Source organism: Homo sapiens, chromosome 11 (genome assembly GCF_000001405.40).
Source record: "Homo sapiens chromosome 11, GRCh38.p14 Primary Assembly".
Lineage (NCBI taxonomy): Eukaryota > Metazoa > Chordata > Mammalia > Primates > Hominidae > Homo > Homo sapiens.
This window is the reverse complement of record NC_000011.10, coordinates 2,628,318-2,656,311: the sequence shown is the minus strand read 5'-3', so window position 1 is coordinate 2,656,311 and position 27,994 is coordinate 2,628,318. Positions and strand designations below refer to the sequence as shown.

The 27,994-nt window shown below is 40.6% G+C and overlaps 1 protein-coding gene and 1 long non-coding RNA gene across 6 annotated transcripts in view; one reads left to right on the top strand and one right to left on the bottom strand.

Annotated features, from left to right (window-relative positions):
- Positions 1-27,994, bottom strand: part of KCNQ1 (potassium voltage-gated channel subfamily Q member 1) — a 404,098-nt gene that overhangs the window by 192,794 nt on the left and 183,310 nt on the right. The window lies entirely within an intron of this gene.
- Positions 1-27,994, top strand: part of KCNQ1OT1 (KCNQ1 opposite strand/antisense transcript 1) — a 91,667-nt gene that overhangs the window by 43,683 nt on the left and 19,990 nt on the right. Inside the window, exon 1 of the long non-coding RNA NR_002728.4 lies at positions 1-27,994. This exon is cut by the window's left edge and continues 43,683 nt beyond it; it is cut by the window's right edge and continues 19,990 nt beyond it. This is a non-coding gene — a long non-coding RNA (KCNQ1 opposite strand/antisense transcript 1).

The following is a 27,994-nucleotide window of genomic DNA, read 5'->3' as shown; positions in this document are numbered from 1 at the left end:
CAGAAGCATGTTACTGCCCCCATTTTAGAGATTTGGGGCTGAGATTCAAGTACCCTAGGTTATATAATGCAGTTGTCAAGTGACAGAGCTAAAACTTCATCCAGGATTCAATTTTTTTTAAAGGAAGGAAGAAAGAAAAAACATATTTTGATGTTTGCATCACTTGTATGTAGAAGGAACGATGGAGCACAGGCTAGAACGTAGAGTTGCTTTCCAAACACCCATGATGACAAGTGCCCATCTCCAAAGCCTGAGGGCCAAGGGTGAGCCACCTGACCCCTGAGGAAGGTTCTGTCCTGGTGTTTTAGGAAATTAAAATGTGCACATCAGTTGGCTGCCCAGAGTGGGTGGGACCTGCACCTGCCAGAGAGGAATGTGTGCTTTTTGGTTTAATCCTGGGAACGGCATATGGGGCCCCTATAACAAGGGGCAGAGAAGGCCTCCACAGATTTGTTTTTCCAATTCAAGAGGAGAGGTTATTGTCTGCTGGCTTGTGTGTTGGAGACTGTGGGGCGTGCTTTCTCCACCACAGGGAGGCAGTGACCAGAGCTGCCACCTCTTCCCTGTTTTCACCTGTGGTCGTAGCCAGGTCAGGCATCTAGGAGAGCATGGAGGGGAGCTGGGGGTGGGTGGGTGGGGATTCAGCTCTTTCCAGACACACTGGTGCTGCCTCTTTCAGGCCAGGGCTTGAGGGCAAGTGCTGTGCCCTAACAGGTCTTGCTTGTCACCCCCACCTCTGAAGTGGGTATTTCACAGCCTGAACTCACAGCTGCAGAGAAGGTTGAGCCCATGGTGTACTTGAAAGGGCAGTTCATCTGGATATCCAGGCTCTGCAGGAGGTACCGGAGCAATGCCAGGTGCCCTTTGCTGAACTGCCTAGAGTGGCTGGCCCTGGGGACAAAGAGCACAGCATCCTGGTGACAATGAAGTCACACTTTCCTAAGACAGTCCTGGTTTTTGATGCTTTAATTCTTTGGCTGCCTTTGCTTTGTCAAGGCCAGGATCTGGGCCTAAATTTTCAGGGCAGAACAAAACAATTTTGTTTTCTAGGAAAGTGGGAGGTCTGGGATGGCAAAGGCAGCCTCGGGCGTGGCGACTACCCCAGCTGGGGACGCTGGCTGCCAAGTCTCACCCTCTCAAGAGAACAGGAATCAAACTCAGCACAGCATCCTCCTTTCTAGTCAGTGGTCCTGCTCGATAGGGGGATTTGAATTTTATTTTTTTAAAAATACAGGCACAGAAAAAAGACTAGAAGGAAACAGATCCAAATGTTAACTTTGTCTTTGGGTGATTTTCATTTCCTTCCTTATTGTGTCTGTGTTTTCTATTTTGCATGATACTTTTCCAAGTCAAGAAACAATAATTTGTGGAAGTCTCCTGTATCTGTGCCTTGCTCTCTGGCCCACGACCTTGCACATCTTATCCTAGAGTTGCCAGAATATGTCCCTCCACCTGGCCTGGAGCTGCCCATGAGGCTACATAGAGCTCTCCTATCATGAAAGTCTTTGAGGCTTTCTGTTCCCAAGAAATTCTGGTCTCACTTCCTCTGCCTTCTCATCGAGCCCCAGACCCCTCCCTGCCCAGATTAGGTCAGCATTCAAGCCCCAAGTCCAGCCTATGACAAAGCTCAAAGCTCCAGCCCATCTCTGCTGCCCTCTGCCCTCAAGAGACTCTCGCCAGTGTCTGGGCCCTTCCTAGTAACTTCACCCAACCACTCACCCCCTGCCCTTCCCCTCCTGATTGATTAAAATCCGGCCTAATCTCCCAGGTGTAACCCAAGCCCTCTTCCACAAGCTTTCCAGGGCTCCGGAGATTGCCCCCTCCCCTGTACGGCTGCAGGGCTTATGTGTGCCTGGCGCTCAGCACGGGAACCTTGCCTTCTGCCTCACCCATGTCTCCCCAGGGTTTGGCACAGGCGAGTTCCCTGAGCCAGCCTACTTCACAAGGATGAACAGAAGCTCTCCCTATCCTTTGCAAGTAGAAGCCCCCTCCCTGGCCCCCTCAAGAAATCTCCCCCTCTCAGTGGATTCACCAAAGCCCTGCGGATCCTGCACTGTGAAGGAGAAGCCCTCCCCAGGGGCATCCGGACAGCTGCAGCCAGGCCCTGCGTGACATTGCTGAGCCGCAGCCCCACAGCCTGTGCCAGCTGCCCATGCCCGGCTCATAGACCCTGAGCCAGAGTGGCCCCGCCACCACCTGTGTCTCCACTCAGAGGCGAGAAGTAAGGGACATGGATGGAAAGTGTAAAAGCCATTCCCACAACAGCTGCCAGGAACAAGGCGAGGAATGGAGTGAAAATGTATATTCACAGCTGGCACCCAGTTCCGCTTAGGAAAATACCTTGCTTGAGTGGACACCTGTTGTTTTTGCCTGCCAGCAGCCAGGCCTGGCTTCTGGGAACAGCTTCTCAAATCTTCCTTAGGGGGCTCTTCCTTTCCCACTCCTAGTGTGCAGTGTTTAGGTACCCTCTGGCCATCCCCAAAGGGGTCCCTGTGGACCTTGCCTCAGCCATCGGAGGTACAGCTGCAGGTCCAAGGATGGCTTGTACCCCAGCTGAGGCCAATAAGAACCTGGCCTTAGATTCTGGCAGGAATCCTGGAAGAGATGACCTCGTTCTGCTGGGCTTCCTGAGCTGTTGAATGCAAGCTGGTGGCCATTTTGCCCCTTTTAGAAAGTAGCTGCCTAAGGATACAGCCATCCCATGGGGCCAATGGATAGAGAGCAAGGGAAAGGGAGAACAAAAGAGGGAACGGGAAGGGAGAAGGGGAGTGCAAGAGGGGAGAGTGAGAGCAAGTGAGCAAGATCATCTCAGCTCTGGGGTCCAGCTGTGTCTGAAACAGCTGGGTCCAGCTGTGTGAGCCAAAAAATGTCCCTTTTGTGCTTAAGCTTGTTTGAGTTGGGGTTCCATCATTTGTTACCAAGAGAGTCTTCAGGAATGTGCATGACAAAGTTGGGGGTGAGGTGTGAGCCTACGGACATGGGCCTGGGGGCAGTCAAGGTTACAAAATAGCTAAACTGGTCTGCACTGCCCCCACTAGTTTTCAGGGCAGAGGGCAGGGAGAAGGCTTGTGGGAAAGAAGCTGGCCTGAGGCCAAGGCCCTGGCCCTAGCCCTGCAACAGCACAGGGAACTCTTGGAAAGGGATTTCCTAAGGTGGGACATTGGCTTTCTACTGCTGTGATGCAAGTCCTCATCTCCCCAAACCTTCAGTGAGCCTCTCTCCACACCCTGCTGTATGAGGATGTTTGATGCAAATTATGGAACATGTTGGATCTCACATTGGATCAAAGGTGTGCAGAATAGATTTGCCTCAAGCATGACAGTGATGTGACACAGTCAAAGATGACTTCCGGAATCCTGAGAAGTCCCAGGGAGGATGCTGGGCTTTCCAAAACCTAAGTTTAGGATACTGAGGACCACACCCCACACCCCAAACACTTCTCCTTAGAATAAGTATAGCAAGCCTCAGCATACACAAATCTCAGAGTGAACGGAAATGTCTCTGCAGGCCCAAGGGTGGGGTCTGAGTAGCGGGGGCGCTGAGGAAGACAGGCAGTGACAGAGCCAGGACAGGGTCAACCCTGAGCGTGAGTGAGCCCAGGAAACGGAAAGAGAGCAACACAGCCACCCACACAACTAAAATCGACCCACCCGGGTCTCCATGCTGCAGGAAGTCACTGTCTAGGTCTCCCAAGACACATTTTCAGGGGAAGGTTCCAGGCAGCAAGAGCAGCCCTAGGAAACTTTAATATACAATGGAATCTGGGTTAAGCACTATCTTCTCCAAGAGTTGAGCTCACAGGACATTCCCCAGAAACCTCTGGAGAGGTGGGGAGGAAAGTTTCTGGAGGTCTTTGGATGGAGAAAACAAAAAAGTGGCCTTGATTTTCAAGACAAAATTACACAGGAAGAAAAAAATGTTTTTAATCTAATTAAGAGCGATCTTTTCACCTTCATCACAACATCGCGGAAATGTGCCAGTTCTTAACTTCACACAATAATCAAAGCAATTAGTGAGGGAGAAGCCTTGGAAACCGGTGCAGATGTTCTCAGAATGTTTAATGGGGAAATGAGTTGCAGGCCTCATTCTCAGCATCCGGCTCCAGGCCCTGGCTACCAAATCCAGACATCTGCTGGGGCCCCACCCCCAGGCCCCGAGGGCGCGGGCTTGAGAAACACAGGTCCCTTCCCAGGCCACCTCCCAGCCAGGCCAGAACTGGGGCCGAGAGGCTCCCCATAGCTTCTCAAATTGGAGCCTGGACACAGTCAGAGCCACCCCAGAACTGGGGGGAGGCTCAACATCAAAATTATGTTAACAACTGATGTCAAAAGTAATCAACTCAGCTTGGCTCCCCCACTGCTGCTGGCTGCAGGAGGGCTGTGAGTAGGAGGAGAGCAAGCGGCCCCAGAGGGACCCTCGGCTATGACCCCCTCAGCCTGAACACTACTTCAAGAAAAGATGTGGTGGCATCTGTCTGGTATGGTCCTGTGGGCTCCATTCCAATGCTAATGGACTCTTAAGGGGCCCAGGAATCAAAATGGTCAACACTTGAGGAATTTCCAGTAATCAGAGAAAACGTATAGAAATGAGGATGATGCTTACTTAGGAAATGGCCTATTACAGGAAACAGAGGGCCACGTGGCTAATGTCAGTGAGCTGTGGGAGAGACAGAGACCCCAGGTGGGGCAGGCAGATCAGCAAATCTTGGAGGACCTGCTATGTGGCAGGCACTGGAGACATGGAGGTAAAGAACACAATATCCATGTTCTCAGGGACACACTCATATGCCCTTAGCATTCACGTTCTTCACACTGACAGCTTCTTAATGCAAGCCCACCAGATACTTTCATAAGCACTACCTCTGACTTCAGGCACTTGCTGAGCTGCACACAGGGCAGGCCAAAAGGAATGGAAAGTGAGCCACCACCGGGGCAGCACTCACTAGTGAAAGATAAATACCCCAGCTCTCTCAGCCGCTTGTAGAACTCTGAGGAGTGTTCTGTGCAGCTTCCCAGCTGCCCACCATGAAGCTCTTTCTCAATAAGTGACCAGCACAGCTTAATTCCTGAATTAAGCTGTGTGTGCTGTGAGACTGACACAAGACAGGGTGACAGGAAGCTGTCGGAACATTTGAGTAGGGAAGCAGCAAGATCCACTGTACATTTAAAGAACTCCCTTGAGCTGTTATGTGAAGAATGGAGTACAGGAAGCAAGAGTGGAAATCAAGAGACCAGTAATGAGGTATGGACAACAATGTAGGCAGAGAAATGGTGGTGGTTTTAACCAGGGAGATAGCTGGAGAGACTAGGTGTGGGCAAATCCAGAGAGTTGATAAGACATACTGATAGATTAGAAAGGGGTACTAAGAAAAAAGGATAATTTAAAAAAGACTTTCAGCCAGGCTTGGAGAAAAATAGCATGCTGCTCCTCATCCCCTCTGACTATAAATCATCTCACTCATCCTCCCCTAAAAGCATAAAATCAGTAAGTGCAAATAAAACCACATGACCCATGCTGTTAGCAGTATTAGGAGAAAGAATACCTTCAAATTGCCTGTGGGTAGCAAAGTGAGCCAAATTCCAATAGCATTCTAGTCCCCTGCCCAGCACTGCAAAACTGCATACAGAATCAGAGAAGAGGCTTAAAATGCTTTGTCAAAAAGTTTGAAGGTAGTTAGCAACATCAGCAAAAATAGAGGAGTAAGTACCTCTAAGGAGCCTTCTTGCCTTCACAGACATCCTAAGCACCAAGCAGCCTAAGCCACTGATGAACTTGCAGATACCACTGATGTGGATTATAGTCTAATTAATTGTAGAGACACCACACTTCTGCACTGAACCAGAACCAAAGCCAAAGCACCCTACCCAAATGATACTACAGACGCGTGTACAGGAAAAGTCCTTACTAAGGCTACTCCATAAAATTGGAAGTCTCTGTTATTCCAGATATGCAGATATCAACTTGGGGACACAAAAAACTTGGGGGGAAAAAAACAAGAAAACATGACTTGCCAAAAGAACACAATAATTCTCCAATAATAGACTCCAAAGTAAAGGAAATCTTAAGGAAACCCAATGAGATACAAGAGAACACAAATAGACAATACAAACATATCAGGAAAACAATTCATTATCTAAATGGGAAATCCAGCAGAGTTAGATATGAAAAAGAACCAAACAAAAATCCTGGAGGTGATAAATTAAATGAATGAAATAAAAAATACAATTGAAAGCTTCAAAAGCCGGCTAAGTCAAGCAGAAGAAATAATTTCTAAATTTGAAGACAGGTGTTTTGCAATAAACCAGACAGATTTAAAAAATAACAATAAAAAAGAATGAAGAATGCCTGCGTGACATATGAGACACTATTAAGCTAACAATATTTCACATTTTGGGAGTTCCAGAAGAAGTGTTGGGATAAGGACCAGAAAATCTATTTAAGAAGATAATACCTGAAAACTGCCAAAGTTTGGGAGAGAAAGAGACTAACAGATAAAGGAAGCTCACAAATCCCTAAATAGATTCAACCCTAAAAGGGCCTCTCTGAGGCACATTTTCATCAAACTGTCAAAAATCAAAGAGAGAATTTAAAAAACAAGAGAGAAGCATGAAGTCACATATAAGGGAATCAACAGCAGATTAACAGATTTTTCAGCAGAAACCTTCTAGGCCAGGAAAGAATTGAATGCCATATTAAAAGTGCTGCAAGGTGGGGAAAAGCTCACAAAATTGCTAGCCACAAATACTATACCCAGCAAAGCTATCCTTCAGAAATGAAGCAGAATGAGGGAAGAAATTTTGCCTCCCTCAGACAAGCAAAAACTGAGGGAATTCATTACTACTAAATCAGCCCCACAAGAAATGCTTAAGGGAGTACTACATCTGGAAGTAGGAGGATGATATCTACCATCATGAAACTACAAAAGCATAAAACACTAGTAGAGCAGATACACAAATGAGAAAGGAAAAGGAATAAAAGATTATCACTACAGAAAACCAAAAAATTGCAAAGAAAAACAATGAGAGGAAACAAAAGTATACAAATCAGTCAGAAAACAATAAAATGACAGGAGTAAGTCCTCACCTATTGATAACAATCTTGAATGTAGGTAATTTAAATTTCCCAAATGAAAGATAGATACTGGCTAAATGAATTAAAAAAATAAAACCCAATTACATGCTGCCTATAAGAAACTGACTTCACCTGTAAAGACACCCATAGACTGTAAGGGAATGGATAGAAAAAGATATTCCACACAAACAGACACCAAAAGCATGCAGGAGTAGACAGACAAAAAATACTGAGTCAAAAAAAAAAAAAAAAAAAAAAAGAAAAAGAAAAAAGAGACAAAGGAGGTCATTATATAATTATAAATGGATCAATTCAGCAAGAAGATATAACAATTATATATGCAACCAACAACACTGGAGTACCCAGGTATATTAAACAAATATTATTAGTGCTAAAGAGATAGACCCCAATACAATAATAGTTAGGGATGGCAACATTTCATACTCAGCATTGGACAATTCATTTGGATGGAAAAATATCAACAAGGAAATATTAGATTTGAACTGCTGCTTCGTTAGCACACAGCACATTCTCCAGGATATACCATATGTTAGGACACAAAACGGGTCTCAATAAATTTTTAAAAGTCAAAATCTTATCAAGTATCTTCTCAGACCACAATGGAATAAAACTGGAAATCAATAACAAGAGGAACTTCTGAAATTGAACAGATACACGGAAATCAAACTACATGTTCCTGAATGACCACTGTGTCTATGAAGAAATTGATTTTAAAAATTTAAAAATTCTTTGAAACAAATGAAAATAGAAACACAGCATACAAAAATGTATAGGGTACAACAAAAGAAGTGCTATGAGGGACATTTATTTCAATAAACACCCACATCAATAAGGTAGAAAGTTTTTAAACAAATAACCTAATAAACGCATCTCAAGGAACTAGAAAAGCAAGAACAAATCAAACCTAAAATTAGAAGGAAATAAATAGTAAAGATCAGAGCAGATCTAAATGAAATAGAGATAAAAGGTAAAAAAGACAAAAGATCAATGAAATGAGGCCTCCCCCCCACCCCCCGAGACACGGTCTCACTCTGTCACCCAGGCTAGAGCGCAGTGGTGTGATCTTGGCTCACTGTAACCTCTGCTTCCTGGGCTCAAGCAATCCTCCTGCCTCAGCTTCTGAGTAGATGTGCAGCACCACACCTCGCTAATTTTTTTTTTTTTTTTTGGTAGAGATGGGGGTTTGCCATGTTGCTCAGGCTGGTCTCAAACTCCTGGACTCAAGCGATCGGCCTGCCTTGGCCTTCCAAAGTACTGGGTTTACAGGTGTGAGCCAACAAACCCAGCCAAAAAACTGATTTTTTGAAAAGAGAAAATCAATAAACCATTAGCTAGACTAACCAAGAAGACCCAATAAATAAAATCAGAAATGAAAAAGGAGACTTACAATGGACACCACAGAAATACAAAAGATTATTAGAGACCATTATGAACAACTATATGTCAACAATTAGAAAACCTAGAGGAAAGAGATAAATTCCTGGACATATATAACCTCCCAAGATTGAACCAGGAAGAAAAAAAATCTGAACAGAGCAATAACAAGGAATGAGATTGTATCAGTAATAAAGTCTCCCAGTAAAGAAAACCTCAGGATTGCACGGGTTTTCTACTGAATTCTACCAAACCTTTAAAGAACTAACATGAATTCTTCTCAGACAATTCCAAAAGACTGAAGAGAAAGGAATTCTCCCTAACTCATTCTGTGAGGCAAGCAGTATCTTGATACCAAAACCAGATAAGGACACAATAACAGCAAAAAAGAAAACTACAGGCCAATCTCCCTGATGAACATAGATGCAGAATCCTCAGAAACAAAACACACACACAGACACACAAACTAGCAATCTGAATCCAATCGCACATCAAAAAGATAATACACCATAATCAAGTGGGATTTATCCCAGGGATTCAAGGATGGTTCAACATATACAAATCAATAAATGTGATACATCACATTAACAGAAGGAAGGACAAAAAAATACATGATCATCTCAATAGATGCAGAAAAAGCATCTGATAAAATTCAAAATCTCTTCATGATAAAAAAAAAAGCTCATCACATAATGTCTAGAAGGAACATAACTCAATGAAGGTCATATATGACAAACCCACAGCCACCTGGGGAAAAGCTAAACACCTTCTCTCTTAGAACTAGAACAAGACAAGGATGCCCACTTTCACTATTCTTATTCAGCAGAGTAAGAAAAGTCCTCACCAGAACAATTAGGCAAGTAAAAGAAAAAGGGTATCCAAATTGGAAAAGAGAATGTCATATTGTCCTTTGCAGATGGCATAATCTTATACATAGAAAAACCTAAAGATTCCACCAAAATCTTTTAGAACTGGTAAAGGAATTCAATAAAGTTGCAGGATAAAAAAATCAACAAACAAAAATTAGTAGGTGTGGACATGATGGCTCATGCTTGTAATTTCAGCACTTTGAAAGGATGAGGCGGGTGGATTGCTTGAGCCCAGGAGTTTGAGACTGTCCTGGGCAACATGGCAAAACCTCATCAGTACAAAAATGAGCTGGGCGTGGTGGCCTGCACCTGAAGTTCAGCTACTCAGGAGGCTGAGATGGGAGGATCACTTGAACCTCGGAGGTGAAGGTTGCAGTGAGCAGAAATTGCACCATTGCACCCCAGCCTGGGCAACAGAGTGAGACCCTGTCTGCACTCCCCTGCCTCCCCCAAAAAATCAGTAGCATTTCTGTGAAACAGCAAATTAGCCAAAAGAGAAATGAAGAAAGCAATCCCATTTGCAATAGCTACAAAAAAAAGCAAAGCTTAACCAAGGAGGTGAAAGATTTCCACAATGAAAACTATAAAATACTGATAACAGTAATTGAAGAGGCTACAAAATTTTTTGAGACATCCCATGCTCATGGATTGAAAGAAAAATGTTAAAATGATCATATTTACCTATAGCAATATACAGATGCTATGAAATCCCTATCCAGATATCAGCAGGGGCTTCAAGATGGCTGACTAGAGGCATCTGGCACTCACCTCCTCCACAAAATATAGCAAGTAGGTAACCACAGTTTATATAGATCGCCTCTGAGAGAATGCTGGAATTCAACTGAGAAGTAATAAGAAAAACCCAATGCAAGGGATAAGAGGGGAGTCAGGCAGTCTGCTTCTATGGGACTGGCTGGGATCATGAAGAGACTCCTCGATGTGCAGAAAGGTAAGTAAGTGAGCCCCTAGTGGTCCACATTCCCACAGCAGACTCCTGAAATCCTAGTCAGAGAACCCCCTGACCCATAGATGCCTTGAGACTAACAAGAGGCTACCTACAGACTGTGAAATGGCAATGAACAGCTCCCAGAGAGGGAGATCACCCTGAATCCTCAGGCAATTCACACATCCCCTGAATCCTCAGGCAACTTCAGGAAAGTCCCATTTTGATAGCCCAACCCCCACCAGACTGCATCTGCTGTGGGCCCCACATCCCTCTATCTCATCCCTGGAGCCCCATGGACATCCCTTACACAAAGCTGGTTGCCACTCCTGACTGCTCCCTCCAGGCCAAAGCATGAGCCATTGGCAATACTCTGCTACCTCCGAAGCAAGGCTGCCATGAGGAAAGGTGACCCTGCCCATAGTCACCACCTGGGGCCGAAGCATGCATTGCCCAACTGCCTGTTTATAGCTGCTGCCACTGAAAGCAATCCCACTCAACTTCCCCAGGAGTAGGGCTGCAATAGAGTTGCTGCTGCCCCAACATGAGCATTCAGCAGGGTATACAGGGATCTTCCTGTGCCTGCCTACCACAGTCAGTACATTCTTGCATTACTGGAGGGCCTCAGGACAGGCCCACCTGGCCTGGTCCCACCCTCTTTTCTCCCAGTGCCAGCGCATACCATCTCTGGGCCTAGGGATCACCCTGCCCTATCCAGTATTGTTGGCACCTGAGCACTCCTGGGGGCTTGAGGACTGCCCTACCCAACTGACCATTACCACCACAACTGGCATTCACTTGAATTTGCCACCTGTGGGCCTTGGGACAAGCTCATCCAGCTTATCCCAGCCATCCCAATACCAGCATGGACACCTTGGGAGGCAGAAGATTGTTCTGCCACTGCTACTGCCATTGCCCAAGCCATATCTGCTGCTCAGAGCTCAAGGACCTACCCACCCTGTGGCCCAGCTCTGTCATCATTGGCACCTGAGCAAGTTGCCTGGAGGCCCAAAATTGGTTTCCCTGGACTTGCTAACACTGGTACCAGCATACACTACCATTGGGCCCAAGGATAAGCATTCGGGGCCAGCCACTGCTGCCACTGGGGCCTGAGGACTGGCCCAGCTGGTGTCCCTATCCCCAGCCAGACTTTACCACAGCCTCCACCAACAACTGCATCCTAAACTACAGAGGAACTCCCAGACACTACTGGTGCTGTTTACAGCTGAAAAAAATTCCATGGAGATCACACTACTGCAGGCACCCAGAATCAAAACCAAAGTGCCCTGCCCAAAGAACACCATAGATATATCTTCAGGAACAAGACTCTCTTAGGAAAGACAGATCAAAAAATTGGAAGAAACTACTGTTACACCAGATGTGCAGATACCAGTGTAAGCACACAAGAAACATGAAAAGGCAAAACATGACAACTCCTAAGGAATGCAATAATTCTCCAACAGATTCCAGTGAAAAAGAAATTGATGAAACCTTGAAAAATTCAATATAATATTAAAGAAGATCTGATAGACTATACAAAGAAATCAGAAAAAACAATTCGGGGTATGAATGAGAAATTTGCCCAAGAGATAGATATAAAAAGAACCAAACAGATATTCTGGAATTGAATAATAGATTGAATGAAATAAAAAACATATTTGAAAGCTTCAATAACAGACCACAACAAGCAGAAGAAAGAATTTCACACCTTGAAGATAAGTCTTTTGAAATGACTCAGACAAAAATATAGAAAAAATAGAAAAGAATGAACAAAGGCTATGTGACTATAGGATGCCATAAGGTGACACCTTCAGTGTCCCAGAAGGTGAAGAGCAAACCAAAAGATTATAAAACCTATTTAATGAAATAATACCTGAACACTTCCCAATCTCCCAAGAGATTTAGATCCAAATATAGGAATCTCAGAACCCTAAATAGATACAATTCAGAAAGGTCTTTTCCACAGCACATTATAGCAAATTGCCCATCCCAAGACAAAGAGAGAATCATAAAACCAGCGATAAAAGAGGTTGTAGACACTTACAAGGGAACAACCTGCAGACTAACAGATTTTTCAGCAGAAACTTTACAGGCCAGGAGGATGGGATTATATACGCAGAGTGCTGAAAGAAAAAACAAAACCAAAAACCTGCCAGCCAGGAATACTGTACTTAGCAAAGTTATATTCGTCAGAAATGAAGGAGAAATAAAGTATTTCCCTTAAAAGTAAAAGCTCAGGGAATTAATTGCCACTACACTGGCACTACAAAAAATGCTTAAGGGAGTCTTACAGGAAGAAGTGAAAGGACAACTTCATGAAAGCACACAAAATAATCAGAAATCAATTAATGACAGGAATAAGCCCTCACATATCAACAATAACCTTGCATATAAATAGATTAAACTTTCTACTTAAAAGACAGACTGGCTGAATGGACTTAAAAACATGACCCATCTAAATGCTATCTACAAGAAACGCATCTCACCTGTAAAGACACATAGTTGAAAGAAAGGAATGGGAAAAGATATTACATGCAAAAGGAAACAAAAACCAAACAGGAGTAGCTATACTTTCATCAGATAAAACAAAGGTTAAGCTAAAAACACTAAAAAGAGACGAAGTCATTATATAGTGACAGAGGGATCAATTGACCAAGAGGATATAACAATTCTAAACATATATGCACCCAACACCAAAGCACCCAGATATATAAGGCAAACATCAAATCTGAAGGGAAAGGTAGACTTCAACACAATAATCTTGGGAACTTCAATTCTCCATTTCCAGTATTAGACAGATCATCTAGACAAAAAATTAACAAAGAAACATTGGATTTAAACTGCACTTTATACCAAATGGACCTAACAGACATTTACAGACCAGTTCATAAAACAGCTGCAGAATATACACTCTTCTCATCAGTACATGGAACACTCTCCAGGATACATTATATGTTAGGACACTAAGTATGATTTTAAATATATATATATTTTAAATTGGATTCATATCACATATCTTCTCAGACCACAATAGCATAAAACTATAAATAAATAAGAGGAGCATTCAAAACTGTATAAATAAATGGAAATTAACATGTTCCTGAATGACCAATGGGTCAAAGAAGAAATTAAGGCAGAAATAAAAAATTTACTGAAACAAGTGAAAATAGAAGCACAACATTCTGAAACTTAAGGGATACTGCAAAAGCAATGCTAAGAGGAAAGTTTATTGTAATAAATGCCTCCATTAAAAAAGGTAGAAAAGATCTTAAATAATCTAATGATACACCTGAAGGAACCAGAAAAGCAAGAACAAACCATACTAAACATAAAATTAGTAGAAGGAAAGAAATAACGAAGATCAGAGCAGAACTAAACAAGAAACTAAATAAATATAAAGGATCAATGAAATGCAAAATCGGTTTTTGAAAAGAAACAAAATAACCAGTGGCTAAACTATCCAAGAAGAAAAGAGAGAAGACCTACATGAATAAAATCAAAAATGAAAAAGGGGATATTACAACTCATACCATGAAATACAAAAATCAAAACTCTTCAGTCTGATCAATAAATTGATTACAGTTACAGGATTTAAAAATCAGGCTTATTTCTATATACCAATAAAGAACCAGCTGAGAAAGAAATCAAGAAGGCATTATCTTTTACAACCACTACAAAAAATCTAGGAATGAGTTTAACCAAAGAGGTGAGAAACCTCTAACAAGGAAAACTACAAAAGTCTGATGAAAGAAATTGAAAAGAACACACAAAAAACATCCCATTCTCATGGATTGGGAGAATTAACAAAATTAAAATGACCATACTACCCAAAGCAATCTACAGATTCAATGCAGTCTCTCTCAAAATACCAATGCCATTTTTCATGGAAATAGAAAAAATCCTAAAATTCAGATGGAACCAAAAAAGAGCTGGAATAGCCACAGCAATTCTGAGCAAAAATAACAAAGTTGGATGCATCACACTGCCTGATTTAAAAATATAAGGCTATAGCATTAAAAGCAGCATGGTATTGGAATAAAAACTGATAGACCAATGGAACAGAGTAGAACCTGGAAGTAAATCCATGTATTTACAGCCAACTGATTTTTGACAAAGATGCCAAGAACATACACTGGGAAAAGAGCACCCTCTTCACTTAATGGAGCTGGGAAAATAAGATATCCATGTGAAAAATGAAACCGTTTCTATCTCTTGCTATACTAAAATCAACTCAAGATGGGTTAAAGACTTAAACATGAGGCATGAAACTATAACATCACTATTAATGAAGGAGACATTGGGGAAACACTTTAGGACATTGGTCTAGGGAAAGATTTTATGGATAAGACCTCAAAAACACAGACAAAAACAAAAATAGACAAATGGGACTATATTAAATGATAAAGCTTGTACACAACAAGGGAAACAATCACCAGAGTGAAGAGACAGCCTGTTGAATGGGAGAAAATATTTGCAAACTACTCATCTGACAAGGTACTAATACCAGAATATACTAGGAACTCCAATAACTCAATAGTAAACAACAAATTAATTCCAATAAAAAGTGAGCAAAAGACATGGATAGATATTTCTCAAAAGAAAACATACAAGTAGCCAACAGGTATATTTAAAAAAAAAAGCCCAACATCAGTAATTATAAGGGAAATGCAAGCCAAAACCATAGTGAGAATGGCTATTTTAAAAAGACAAAAATTAACCAATGCTGGAGAGGATGTGGAGGGAACTCTTATACACTGTTGGTGGGAATGTAAATTAATACTATAGAAAACAGTTTGATTTCTGAAAAACCTAAAAAGAGAAATATGACATAATCCAGCAATCTCACTACTGGATATTTATCTAAAGGAAAAGATATCAGTATACTAAAAATGTACCTGCATCCCCGTGTTTATTGCAGCACTATTCACAACAGCAAAGATATGGACTCAGGAACCTAAGTGTACATCAGTGGATAAATGGAAAAAGAAAATGAGGTAAATATATACAATGGAATACTAATTGACCAAAGAAGAATGAAATCATGTCCTTTGCAGCAACATGAATGGAGCTGGAGGTCATTATTTTAAGCCAGGCACAGAAAGATAATTATCTTATGTTATTATCATATGTGGGAGCTATAAAAGTTGATCTCATGGAGGTAGAGAGTAGAAGGATAGATACCAAAGGCTGTGAAAGGTATGTCTGGAGGGTGAAGAGAGGTTGGTTAGTGGGTAAAAATACACAGCTAGTTAGAATAAATAATTTATAATGTTTGATAAGAGTTGGTTGACTATATTTAACAATATAATGTATATTTCAAAATAAAAAAGAGGACTTGAAATGTTCCTAACTATAGAGATGATAAATTGAGGGTGATGGATACCCTGACTTGATCATTACACATTCGATGCATGTAACAATAGCACATGTACCCCATAAGTATTATGTATCGGTCAAAAAAAAAAAAAAAAGGAAATCCCAGTGCTTTGGGGGGCCAAGGCAGAAGGATCGCTTGAGCCCAGGAATTCAAGACCAGCCTGGGCAACAATGCACGACCCTGTCTCTACAAAAAATTAAGAAGTTATCCAGGCATGGTGGTGCATGCCTGTAGTCCCAGCTACTTGAGGGGTCAAGGATGGAGAATGACTTGAGCCTGGGAGTTAAAGATTGCAGTAAGTGGGGTGGTTCCAAGATGGCCGAATAGGAGGAGCTCCAGTCTATAGCTCCCAGCGTGAGTGACGCAGAAGATGGGTGATTTCTGCATTTCCAACTGAGGTAGTGGGTTCATCTCACTGGGGCTCGTCAAGACAGTGGGTACAGGACAGTGGGTGCAGCCCACTGAGTGTGAGACGAAGTAGGGCGAGGCATCGCCTCACCTGGGAAGCACAAGGGGTCAGGGAATTCCCTTTCCTAGCCAACGGAAGGGGTGACAGACGGCACCTGGAAAACTGGATCACTCCCACCCTAATACTGTGCTTTTCCAATGGTCTTAGCAAACGGCACACCAGGAGATTATATCCCGCGCCTGGCTCGGAGGGTCCCACGCCCATGGAGCCTCGCTCATTGCTAGCACAGCAGTCTGAGATCGAACTGCAAGGCGGCAGCGAGGCTGGGGGAGCCTGCCATTGCTGAGGCTTGAGTAGGTAAACAAAGTGGCCAGGAAGCTCGAACTGGGTGGAGTCCACCACAGCTCAAGGAGGCCTGCCTGCCTCTGTAGACTCCACCTCTGGGGACAGAGCATAGCCGAACAAAAGGCAGCAGAAACCTCTGCAGACTTAAATGTCCCTGTCTCACAGCTTTGAAAAGAGTAGTGGTTCTCCCAGCACGGAGTTTGAGATCTAAGAATGGATAGACTGCCTCCTCAAGTGGGTCCCTGACCCCCGAGTAGCCTAACTGGGAGGCACTCCCCAGTAGGGGCAGACTGACACCTCACACGGCTGGGTACTCCTCTGAGACGAAGCTTCCAGAGGAACAATCAGGCAGCAACATTTGGTGTTCAGCAGTATTCGCTGTTCTGCAGCCTCTGCTGCTGATACCCAGGCAAACAGGGTCTGGAGTGGACCTCCAGCAAACTCCAACAGACCTGCAGCTGAGGGTCCTGACTGTTAGAAGGAAAACTAACAAACAGAAAGGACATCCACACCAAAACTCCATCTATACGTCACCATCATCAAAGACCAAAGGTAGATAAAACCACAAAGATGGGGAAAAAACAGCAGAAAAGCAGAAAATTCTAAAACTCAGAGCACCTCTCCCCATCCAAAGGAACGCAGCCACTCGCCAGCAATGGAACAAAGCTGGACGGAGAATGACTTTGACAAGTTGAGAGAGGAAGGCTTCAGACAATCAAACTTCTCCGAGCTAAAGGAGGAAGTTCGAACCCAAAGCAAAGAAGCTAAAAACCTTGAAAAAAGATTAGACGAATGGCTAACTAGAATAACCAGTGTAGAGAAGTCCTTAAATGACATGATGGAGCAGAAAACCATGGCACAAGAACTACGTGACAAATGCACAAGCTTCAGTAGCCGATTTGATCAACTGGAAGAAAGGATATCGGTGATTGAAGATCAAATGAATGAAATGAAGTGAGAAGAGAAGTTCAGAGAAAAAAGAGTAAAAACAAACGAACAAAGCCTCCAAGAAATATGGGACTATGTGAAAAGACCAAATCTACATCTGACTGGTGTACATGAAAATGACAGGGAGAATGGAACCAAGTTGGAAAACACTCTTCAGGATATTATCCAGGAGAACTTCCCCAACCTAGCAAGGCAGGATATTATCCAGGAGAACTTCCCCAACCTAGCAAGGCAGGCCAACATTCAAATTCAGGAAATACAGAGAATGCCACAAAGATACTCCTCAAGAAGAGCAACTCCAAGACACATAATTGTCAGATTCACCAAAGTTGAAATGAAGGAAAAAATGTTAAGGGCAGCCAGAGAGAAAGGTTGGGTTACCCACAAAGGGAAACCCATCAGACTAACGGCGGATCTCTCAGCAGAAACTCTACAAGCCAGAAGAGAGTGGGGGCCAATATTCAACATTCTTAAAGAAAAGAATTTTCAACCCAGAATTTCATATCCAGCCAAACTAAGCTTCATAAGTGAAGGAGAAATAAAATCCTTTATAGACAAGCAAATGCTGAGAGATGTTATAACCACCAGGCCTGCCCTACAAGAGCTCCTGAAGGAAGCACTAAACATGGAAAGGAACAATTGGTACCAGCCACTGCAAAAACATGACAAATTGTAAAGACCATAGATGCTAGGAAGAAACTGCATCAACTAACGAGCAAAATAACCAGCTAACATCATAATGGATCAAATTCACACATAACAATATTAACCTTAAATGTAAATAGGCTAAAGGCTCCAATTAAAAGACACAGACTGGCAAATTGGATAAAGAGTCAAGACCCATCAGTGTGCTGTATTCAGGAGACCCATCTCACGTGCAGAGACACACATAGGCTCAAAATAAAGGGATGGAGGAAGATCTACCAAGCAAATGGAAAATAAAAAAAGGCAGGGGTTGCAATCCTAGTCTCTGATAAAACAGACTTTAAACCAATAAAGATCAAAAGAGACAAGGTCATTACATAATGGTAAAGGGATCAATTCAACAAGAAGAGCTAACTATCTTAAATATATATGCACCCAATACAGGAGCACCCAGATTCATAAAGCAAGTCCTTAGAGATCTACAAAGAGACAGACTCCCACACAATAATAATGGGAGACTTTAACACCCCACTGTTAACATTAGACAAATCAACAAGACCGGAAGTTAACAAGGATATCCAGGAATTGAACTCAGCTCTGCACCAAGTGGACCTAATAGACATCTACAGAACATTCCAACCCAAATCAACAGAATATACATTCTTCTCAGCATCACATCGCACTTATTCCAAAATTGACCACATAATTGGAAGTAAAGCACTCCTCAGCAAATGTAAAAGAACAGAAACTATAACAAACTGTCTCTCAGACCACAGTGCAATCAAACTAGAACTCAGGATTAAGAAACTCACTCAAAACCGCTCAACGACATGGAAACTGAACCACCTGCTCCTGAATGACTACTGGGTACATAACGAAATGAAGGCAGAGAAATAAAGATGTTCTTTGAAACCAATGAGAACAAAGACACAACATACCAGAATCTCTGGGACACATTTAAAGCAGTGTGTAGAGGGAAATTTATAGCACTAAATGCCCACAAGAGAAAGCAGGAAAAATCTAAAATTGATGCCCTAACATCACAATTAAAAGAACTAGAGAAGCAAGAGCAAACACATTCAAAAGCTAGCAGAAGGCAAGAAATAACTAAGATCAGAGAAGAATTGAAGGAGATAGAGACACAAAAAACCCTTCAAAAAATCAATGAATCCAGGAGGTGGTTTTTTTGAAAAGATCAACAAAATTGATAGGCCTCTAGCAAGACTAATAAAGAAGAGAGAAGAATCAAATAGATGCAATAAAAAATGATAAAGGGGATATCACCACCGATCCCACAGAAATACAAACTACCATCAGAGAATACTATAAACACCTCTATGCAAATAAACTAGAAAATCTAGAAGAAATGGATAAATTCCTGGAGACATACACCCTTCCAAGACTAAACCAGGAAGAAGTTGAATCCCTGAAAAGACCAATAACAGGCTCTGAAATTTAGGCAATAATTAATAGTCTACCAACCAAAAAAAGTCCAGGACCAGACGGATTCACAGCCGAATTCTACCAGAGGTACAAGGAGGAGCTGGTACTATGCCTTCTGAAACTATTCCAAACAATAGAAAAAGAGGGAATCCTCCCTAACTCATTTTATGAGGCCAGCATCATCCTGATACCAAAGCCTGGCAGAGACACAACAAAAAAAGAGAATTTTAGACCAATATCCCTGATGAACATTGATGCAAAAATCCTCAATAAAATACTGGCAAACCGAATCCAGCAGCACATCAAAAAGCTTATCCACCATGATCAAGTGGGCTTCATCCCTGGGATGCAAGGCTGGTTCAACATATGCAAATCAATAAACATTATCCAGCATATAAACAGAACCAAAGACAAAAACCACATGATTATCTCAATAGATGCAGAAAAGGCCTTTGACAAAATTCAACAGCCCTTCATGCTAAAAACTCTCAATAAATTAGGTATTGATGGGATGTATCTCAAAATAATAAGAGCTATTTATGACAAACCCACAGCCAATATCATACTGAATGAGCAAAAACTGGAAGCATTCCCTTTGAAAACTGGCACAAGACAGGGATGCCCTCTCTCACCACTCCTATTCAACATAGTGTTGGAAGTTCTGGCCAAGGCAATCAGGCGGGAGAAAGAAAGAAAGGATATTCAATTAGGAAAAGAGGAAGTCAAATTGTCCCTGTTTGCAGATGACATGATTGTATATTTAGAAAACCCCATCATCTCAGCCCAAAATCTCCTTAAGCTGATAAGCAACTTCAACAAAGTCTCAGGATACAAAATCAATGTGCAAAACATCACAAGCATTCTTATACACCAATAACAGACAAACAGAGAGCCAAATCATGAGTGAACTCCCATTCACAATTGCTTCAAAGAGAATAAAATACCTAGGAATCCAACTTACAAGGGATGTGAAGGACCTCTTCAAGGAGAAGTACAAACCACTGCTGAACAAAATAAAAGAGGATACAAACAAATGGAAGAACATTCCATGCTCATGGATAGGGAGAATCAGTATCATGAAAATGGCCATACTGCCCAAGGTAATTTATAAATTCAATGCCATCCCCATCAAGCTACCAATGACTTTCTTCACAGAATTGGAAAAAAACTACTTTAAAGTTCATATGGAACCAAAAAAGAGCCCGCATTGCCAAGACAATCCTAAGCCAAAAGAACAAAGCTGGAGGCATCACGCTACCTGACTTCAAACTATACTACAAGGCTACAGTCACCAAAACAGCATGGTACTGGTACCAAAACAGAGATATAGACCAATGGAACAGAACAGAGCCCTCAGAAATAATACCACACATCTACAATCATCTGATCTTTGACAAAGCTGACAGAAACAAGAAATGGGGAAAGGATTCCCTATTTAATAAATGGTGCTGGGAAAACTGGCTAGCCATATGTAGAAAGCTGAAACTGGATCCCTTCCTTACACCTTATACAAAAATTAATTCAAGATGGATTAAAGACTTACATGTTAGACCTAAAACCGTAAAAACCCTAGAAGAAAACCTAGGCAATACCATTCAGGACATAGGCATGGGCAAGGACTTCATGTCTAAAACACCAAAAGCAATGGCAACAAAAGCCAAAATTGACAAATGGGATCTAATTAAACTAAAGAGCTTCTGCACAGCAAAAGAAACTACCGTCAGAGTGAATAGGCAACCTACAGAATGGGAGAAATTTTTTGCAATCTACTCATCTGATAAAAGGCTAATATCCAGAATCTACAAAGAACTCAAACAAATTTACAAGAAAAAACAAACAACCCTATCAAAAAGTGGGCAAAGGTTATGAACAGACACTTCTCAAAAGAAGACATTTATGCAGCCAAAAGACACATGAAAAAATGCTCATCATCACTGGCCATCAGAGAAAGGCAAATCAAAAAACCACAATGAGATACCATCTCACACCAGTTAGAATGGCAATCATTAAAAATTCAGGAAACAACAGGTGCTGGAGAAGATGTGGAGAAATAGGAACGCTTTTACACTGTTGGTGGGACTGTAAACTAGTTCAACCATTGTAGAAGACAGTGTGGTGATTCCTCAAGGATCTAGAACTAGAAATACCATTTGATCCAGCCATCCCCTTACTGGGTATATACCCAAAGGACTATAAGTCATGCTGCTATAAAGACACATGCACACGTATGTTTATTGCAGCACTATTCACGATAGCAAAGACTTGGAACCAACCCAAATGTCCATCAATGATAGACTGGATTAAGAAAATGTGGCACATACACACCATGGAATACTATGCAGCCATAAAAAAAGGATGAGTTCACGTCCTTTGTAGGGACATGGATGAAGCTGGAAACCATCATTCTCAGCAAACTATAGCAAGAATGAAAAACCAAACACCGCATGTTCTCACTCGTAGGTGGGAACTGAACAATGAGAACACTTGGACGTAGGAAGGGGAACATCACCCACCAGGGCCTGTTGTGGGGTGGGGGGGGAGGGGGGAGGGGGGAGGGAAAGCATTAGGAGATATACCTAAGGTAAATGACAAGGTAATCAGTGCAGCACACCAACATGGCACATGTATACATATGTAACAAACCTGCACGTTGTGCACATGTACCCTAGAACTTAAAGTATAATAAAAAAAAGGGAGAGAGAGAGAAAAGAGAAATCTAAAAAAAAAAAAATACCAAAGACAATCTTCACCGAAATAGCAAAAACACAATCCTTAAACTTGCATGGAACCACAAAAGACCACAAATAGGACAAACAATACTGAGCAGGCAGAATGAAGCTGGAGGCACTACACTGCCTGACATCAAAATACAGTCGACTCTTCAACAACATAGATTTGAACTGTATAGGTTCATTTATACGTGGATTTTCCCCATAATCTAACAAGGATAGAATGCAATATTCACAAAAGTGAAAACTATGTATACAGATGACTGACATTTTGTATATGCGCATTACACAGGGCTGACTCTGGGACTTGAATATACATGGCTTTTGGTATATACAGGGGGTCTCGGAAGCAATCCCCCTTGTATACAAAACAATGGTAACCAAATTAGCATGCAATGGGCATAAAACAGACATATAGACCAATGGAACAGAATAGAGAACCCAGAAGTAAATAAATTTATTTACAGACAACTGGTTTTTGACAAAGGTGCCAAGAACACACTCTGGGGAAAGGACACCATGTTGAACACATCATGTTGGGAAAACAGGATATCATATGCAGAAGAATGAAACTATACTATCTCTCAGCATATAAAAAAATCAACTCAAAATTGATTAGAGACTTAAACATGAGACCTGAAGCAAACAGTACTAGAAGAAAACAGAAGGGAAACCCTTCAGGATATGGGTCTAGCGAAGATTTTATGGGTAAGACTTTATAAGCACAGGCAACAAAAACAAAAATAGACAAATGGGACTGTATCAAACTAAAAACCTACACATAAAAGGAAATAATAAACTATTAAGAGATATCCTGTAGAATGGGAGAAAATATTCATCTGACAAGGGATTAATATCCGGAATATACAAGGAATTCAAACAATTCAACAGCAAAAAACACCAGATTATCTGATTTAGAAATGTGCAAAATAGAACAACTGGCCAACAGGTATGTGAAAAAATGCTCAACATCTCTCATCACAGAAATGCAAGTCAAAGCCACAGTGAGACATTATTTCACCTCAGTTAGAATGGCTGTTTTCAAAAAGACAAAACATAACAAATGCTGGCAAGGATGCAGAGAAAAGGGAAATAATACACTATTTGTGGGACTATAAATTAGTGAGTCATTATGGAAAATACTGTGGTGTTTTGTCAAAAAAACTAAAAGTAGACTATCATACAGTTTGACAATCCACTACCGGGTATTGACTCAAAGGAAAGGAAATCAGTATATAAAAAAGATATTTGCATTCTCATGTTTATTGCAGTACTGTTCACAACAGTTAAGATATGGAATCAACTTAAATCTCCATCAGCAGATGCAGAGAAAGAATGTGGTATGTATACACAATGGAATATTATTCAGTCATAATAAAGCATTAAGTCCTGTCATTCACAGCAACATGGATGAACTTGGATAATATGTTAAATGAAATTAGGCACAGAAAGATGGAGGATTTTGACTGCTCACAAAACAGAGAAATGATATTTGAGTTGATGAATATGCTAATTACCCTGATTTGATTATGACACATTATATACATGTATCACAATATCACTGTGTATATCCCATAAATATCTACAATTATTACATGTTGACTAAAAATAAAAGGACAAAGAAAAAGACTCCTAGAAGAAAAACCCACAAGGAGCATCATAATGGTGAAAAGACTAAGAGCTTTTCCTCTAAGATCAGGAATAAAGCAAGATGCGCATTTTAGCCATTATATTAAACATAGTAGTGGCTTTCTAGCCAAAGAATATGGAAAAGAAATAAAGGCATCATTTAGAAAGGAAGAATTAAAATTATGTTTGTTCATAGATATGATCATATTTGTAGAAATCCCTGAAAACTCACCACAAAAACTGAATAAATTAATTCAGCAAAGTAGCAGGATAGTAAGTCAGTACACAAAATTCAGTTGCATTTCTTTTTTTTTTTTTTTTTTTTTGAGGCAGAGTCTTGGTCTGTCGCCCAGGCTAGAGTGTAGTGGCGCGATCTCGGCTCACTGCAAGCTCTGCCTCCCGAGTTCACGCCATTCTCCTGCTTCAGCCTCCCAAGTAGCTGGGACTACAGGCACACGCTGCTATGCCTGGCTAATGTTTTTGTATTTTTAGTAGAGATGGGGTTTCACCATGTTAGCCAGGATGGTCTCGATCTCCTGACCTTGTGATCTGCCCTCCTCAGCCTCCCAAAGTGCTGGGATTACAGGCGTGAGCCACTGCGCCCAGCTTTCAGTTGCATTTCTATACATTAATCACAAACAATCTGAAAGGGATATTATTAACACAACTCTATTTACACGACAGCATCAGGACACTCAGCCTTGGCCACCAAGGACCTTTGTAATGTTTGCCACTGCTGACCTCAGCTGATGGAGCTGCAAGAAGAGTATTCCATTATATCCTCATCTGGGCTACAGCTGCTGCACCCTACCTACTTAACACTCCATCAAGTGAGCAGATTTCAATTCATTGTAACAAGAAACAGAAAAACCAAGGAAACATAGCACCCACCTGAGAAATACAATAATTTTCAGGGACTGACTCCCAAGAAATTGGGATACATTAATTGCCTTACAGAAAATTAAAAACGACTGATTTAAGGAAGTTCAGTGTGCTACCAGAGAACAGAGAGACAACCTAATGAAATCATTAATACACAAAAGGAGACATTCAATAAAGAAATAGAAATCCTAAAAAAAAAACAAACATTTTGGAGGTGAAGAATATAGTGCATGAAATGAAAAGTGAAATAGAAAGCATCAGCAGCAGACTTGATCAAATAGAAGGAGGAATTCATCAACTGGAGGATAAATTATTTGAAAATAACCAGTAGAGGAGAAAAATAAAGAATGAAAAGGTAACAAGGGAAGTTTACAGGATTTATGGGACACCATCAGGAGAGTTAATGTTCACACAGGATTTATAGAAGGAAAGTAGAGAGGTAAAGGGTAGAAAGTTAATTCAGAGAAATAATGGCTGAAAACTTCCCATATCTGGGGCTCTTCCCAGATTGATGGACATCTAGGTACATGAAGCTCAAAGAATTACAATTAGTTTCCATCTAAAAGAGGTTTCACCTAGATATATTGCCATCAAAATGTAAAAAATGGAAGACAAGATAATTTTGAAAGCGGCAAGATAAATAAAGTTCTTACATCTGCAGGAACCTCCATAAGGCTATCAGTGGATTTCTGAGCAAAAACTTTCCAGGCCAGGAAACAATAGGATTATATATTCAAAGTTCTGAAAGATAAAAAACTGCCATCTAAGAATACTTTACACAGCAAAGCTGTCCTTCAGATATGAAACAGATACAAGACTTCCTCAGGTAAACAAAAGTTGAAGGAGTTTATCAGCAACTACTCTTGCCTTACAAGATATGCCAGAGGGAGTTATTCAGGCTTAAATGGAAGGATGATAATTAGTAACATGAAAACATATGAAAGTACAAAATTCACTGATAAATAAATATACGGGCAACTTAAGAATACTCTAATAGTGTAATGGTAGTATATAAATCACATAACTCTAGTATAAAGGTTAAAAGAAAAATAATTAAAAATTACTATTGTTTTCATAATTTCTCAATGGATATGCAATATTAAAAGGTGTACCTTGGGGCATCAAAAATAAAATGTAGCGGGGGAAGTATAAGATCAAAATATTCCCCCCAAACAAAGAGGGAACAATCCCAACTTATTTTACAAGGCTAGCATTGCCCTCATACTAAGGCCAGACAAGGACAATATAAGAAAAGAAAATAACTGGCTGATATTTTTTTATGACTATACATTTAAAAATTTTCAACAAAATATGATCAAACTGAATTTAACAGCACATTAAAAAAATCATATATCACAAACATGGGATTTATCCTTAGTACATAAGGACAGTTAAGTGTACATATACAAGAAATGGGATACTTTAATAAAATCAAAGATAAAAATCATACAATCATTTTGATAAGTGCAAATAATGCAGTTCACATAATTCAACATCCTTCCATGATAAAAACTATGAACAAATTAGGTATAGAAGGAATGTACTGCAACACAATAAAGGCCATATATGAATAGCCCACAGCTAACATCATACTCAATGCTGAAAAGCTGAATGCCTCTCCTCTAAGATGAGGAACAAGAAAAAGATATTCTCACCACTTCTATTCAACACAGTACTGGAAGTCCTAGCCAGAGGAATTGGGCAAGAAAAATAAATAAATACACTCAAATCAGAAAGAAGGAAGTAAAATTGTCTCTGTTTGCAGATGACATCATATATGTAGAAAATGCTACAGACTCCACAAAAAAAACCTGTTAGAAGTAATAATCTAACTCAGTAAAGTGGCAGGATACAAAATCAGCATTCAGAAGTCATTTGCGTATCTATACACTAATAATAAACAACCTGAAAAACAAATTAAGAAAACAATTTCATTTAAAATAGCATCAAAAAGAATAGAGAGCTCCCAAATAAATCCTTTCATATATGAACGCATGATTTCTGACAAGCATGCCATGTCCATTCAATGGCAAATGGATTCTCTTTTCAACAAATGGTGCCAGGAAAACTGGATATCCTCACGTGAGAGAATGAAGTCGAGACCTTTACCTAACTCCATATACAAAAATTAACTCAAAGTGGACCACAGACCTAAATGTAAGACCTAAAACTATAAAACTCTTAGAAGAAAACATGGGGCAAAAACTGCATGACATTGGATTTGGTATTGACTTCATTTGGATATAATATGAAAGGCACAGATAAAATAAAAAATAGAGAAATTGGACTGCATAACATTTAGGCATACATTTAACCAAGGAGATAAAAGACCTAGACACTGAAAACTATGAAACATTGAACAAATTCTAAGATGATACAAATAAATGGAAAGATATCTGGTGTTCATAGATCAATAGAATAAATATTGCCGAAATAGCTATACTACTCAAAGTGATCTACAGATTCAAGGCAATGCCTATCAAATTTCCAGTGACTTTTTTTCACAGATATAGACAAAAAAAATCCTAAAATTTGAAAGAAACTACAAAAGACCTTAAAGATCTAAAGCATACTTGAGCAATAAGAACAAAGTGAAAGATATTACACATGCTTATTTTGAATTATATTTCAAAGTTATGGTACTGGTATAGAAATAAACCAATGGAACAGAATAGAAAGCATAGAAATAAACCCACACATTTATGGTCAACTAATCTTTGACAAAGACACCAAGAGTACACAATGGGGAAAGGGTACTCTCTTGAATAAATGGCACTGTGAAACCAGGATATCCACATGCAAAAAAATTAAATTGGAACCTTACCCTACACTGTAGAGAAAAGTGAATAAGATTTAAACATATGACCTGAAACCATAAAACCTATAAAACAGGGAAAAGCTCCTTGCCATTGGTTTTTGTGACAATTTTTTAGATGTGACATCAAAAGCACAAGGAATAAAACGCAAAAATAAATTAGAACTACATCAAACAAAAAAGTGTCTGCACAACAAAGGAAACAACAAAATGAAAAGGCAGCACATGTAGCGGGAGAAAATATTTCCAACCATATATCTGATAAGCTATTAATATCCAATATATATAAGGAACTCATATAACTAGCAAAAAAACTTAATAACCCAATTAATAACCTGTTAAGATGGACAAGGGACTGAATAGACATTTATTCAAAGAAGACATACAGATGGTCAACAGGTATATAAAAAGGTGCTTAACATCACTTATCATCAGGGAAATGCAAATGAAAACCACACTGAGATATCACCTCATAACTGTTAGAATCGCTATTA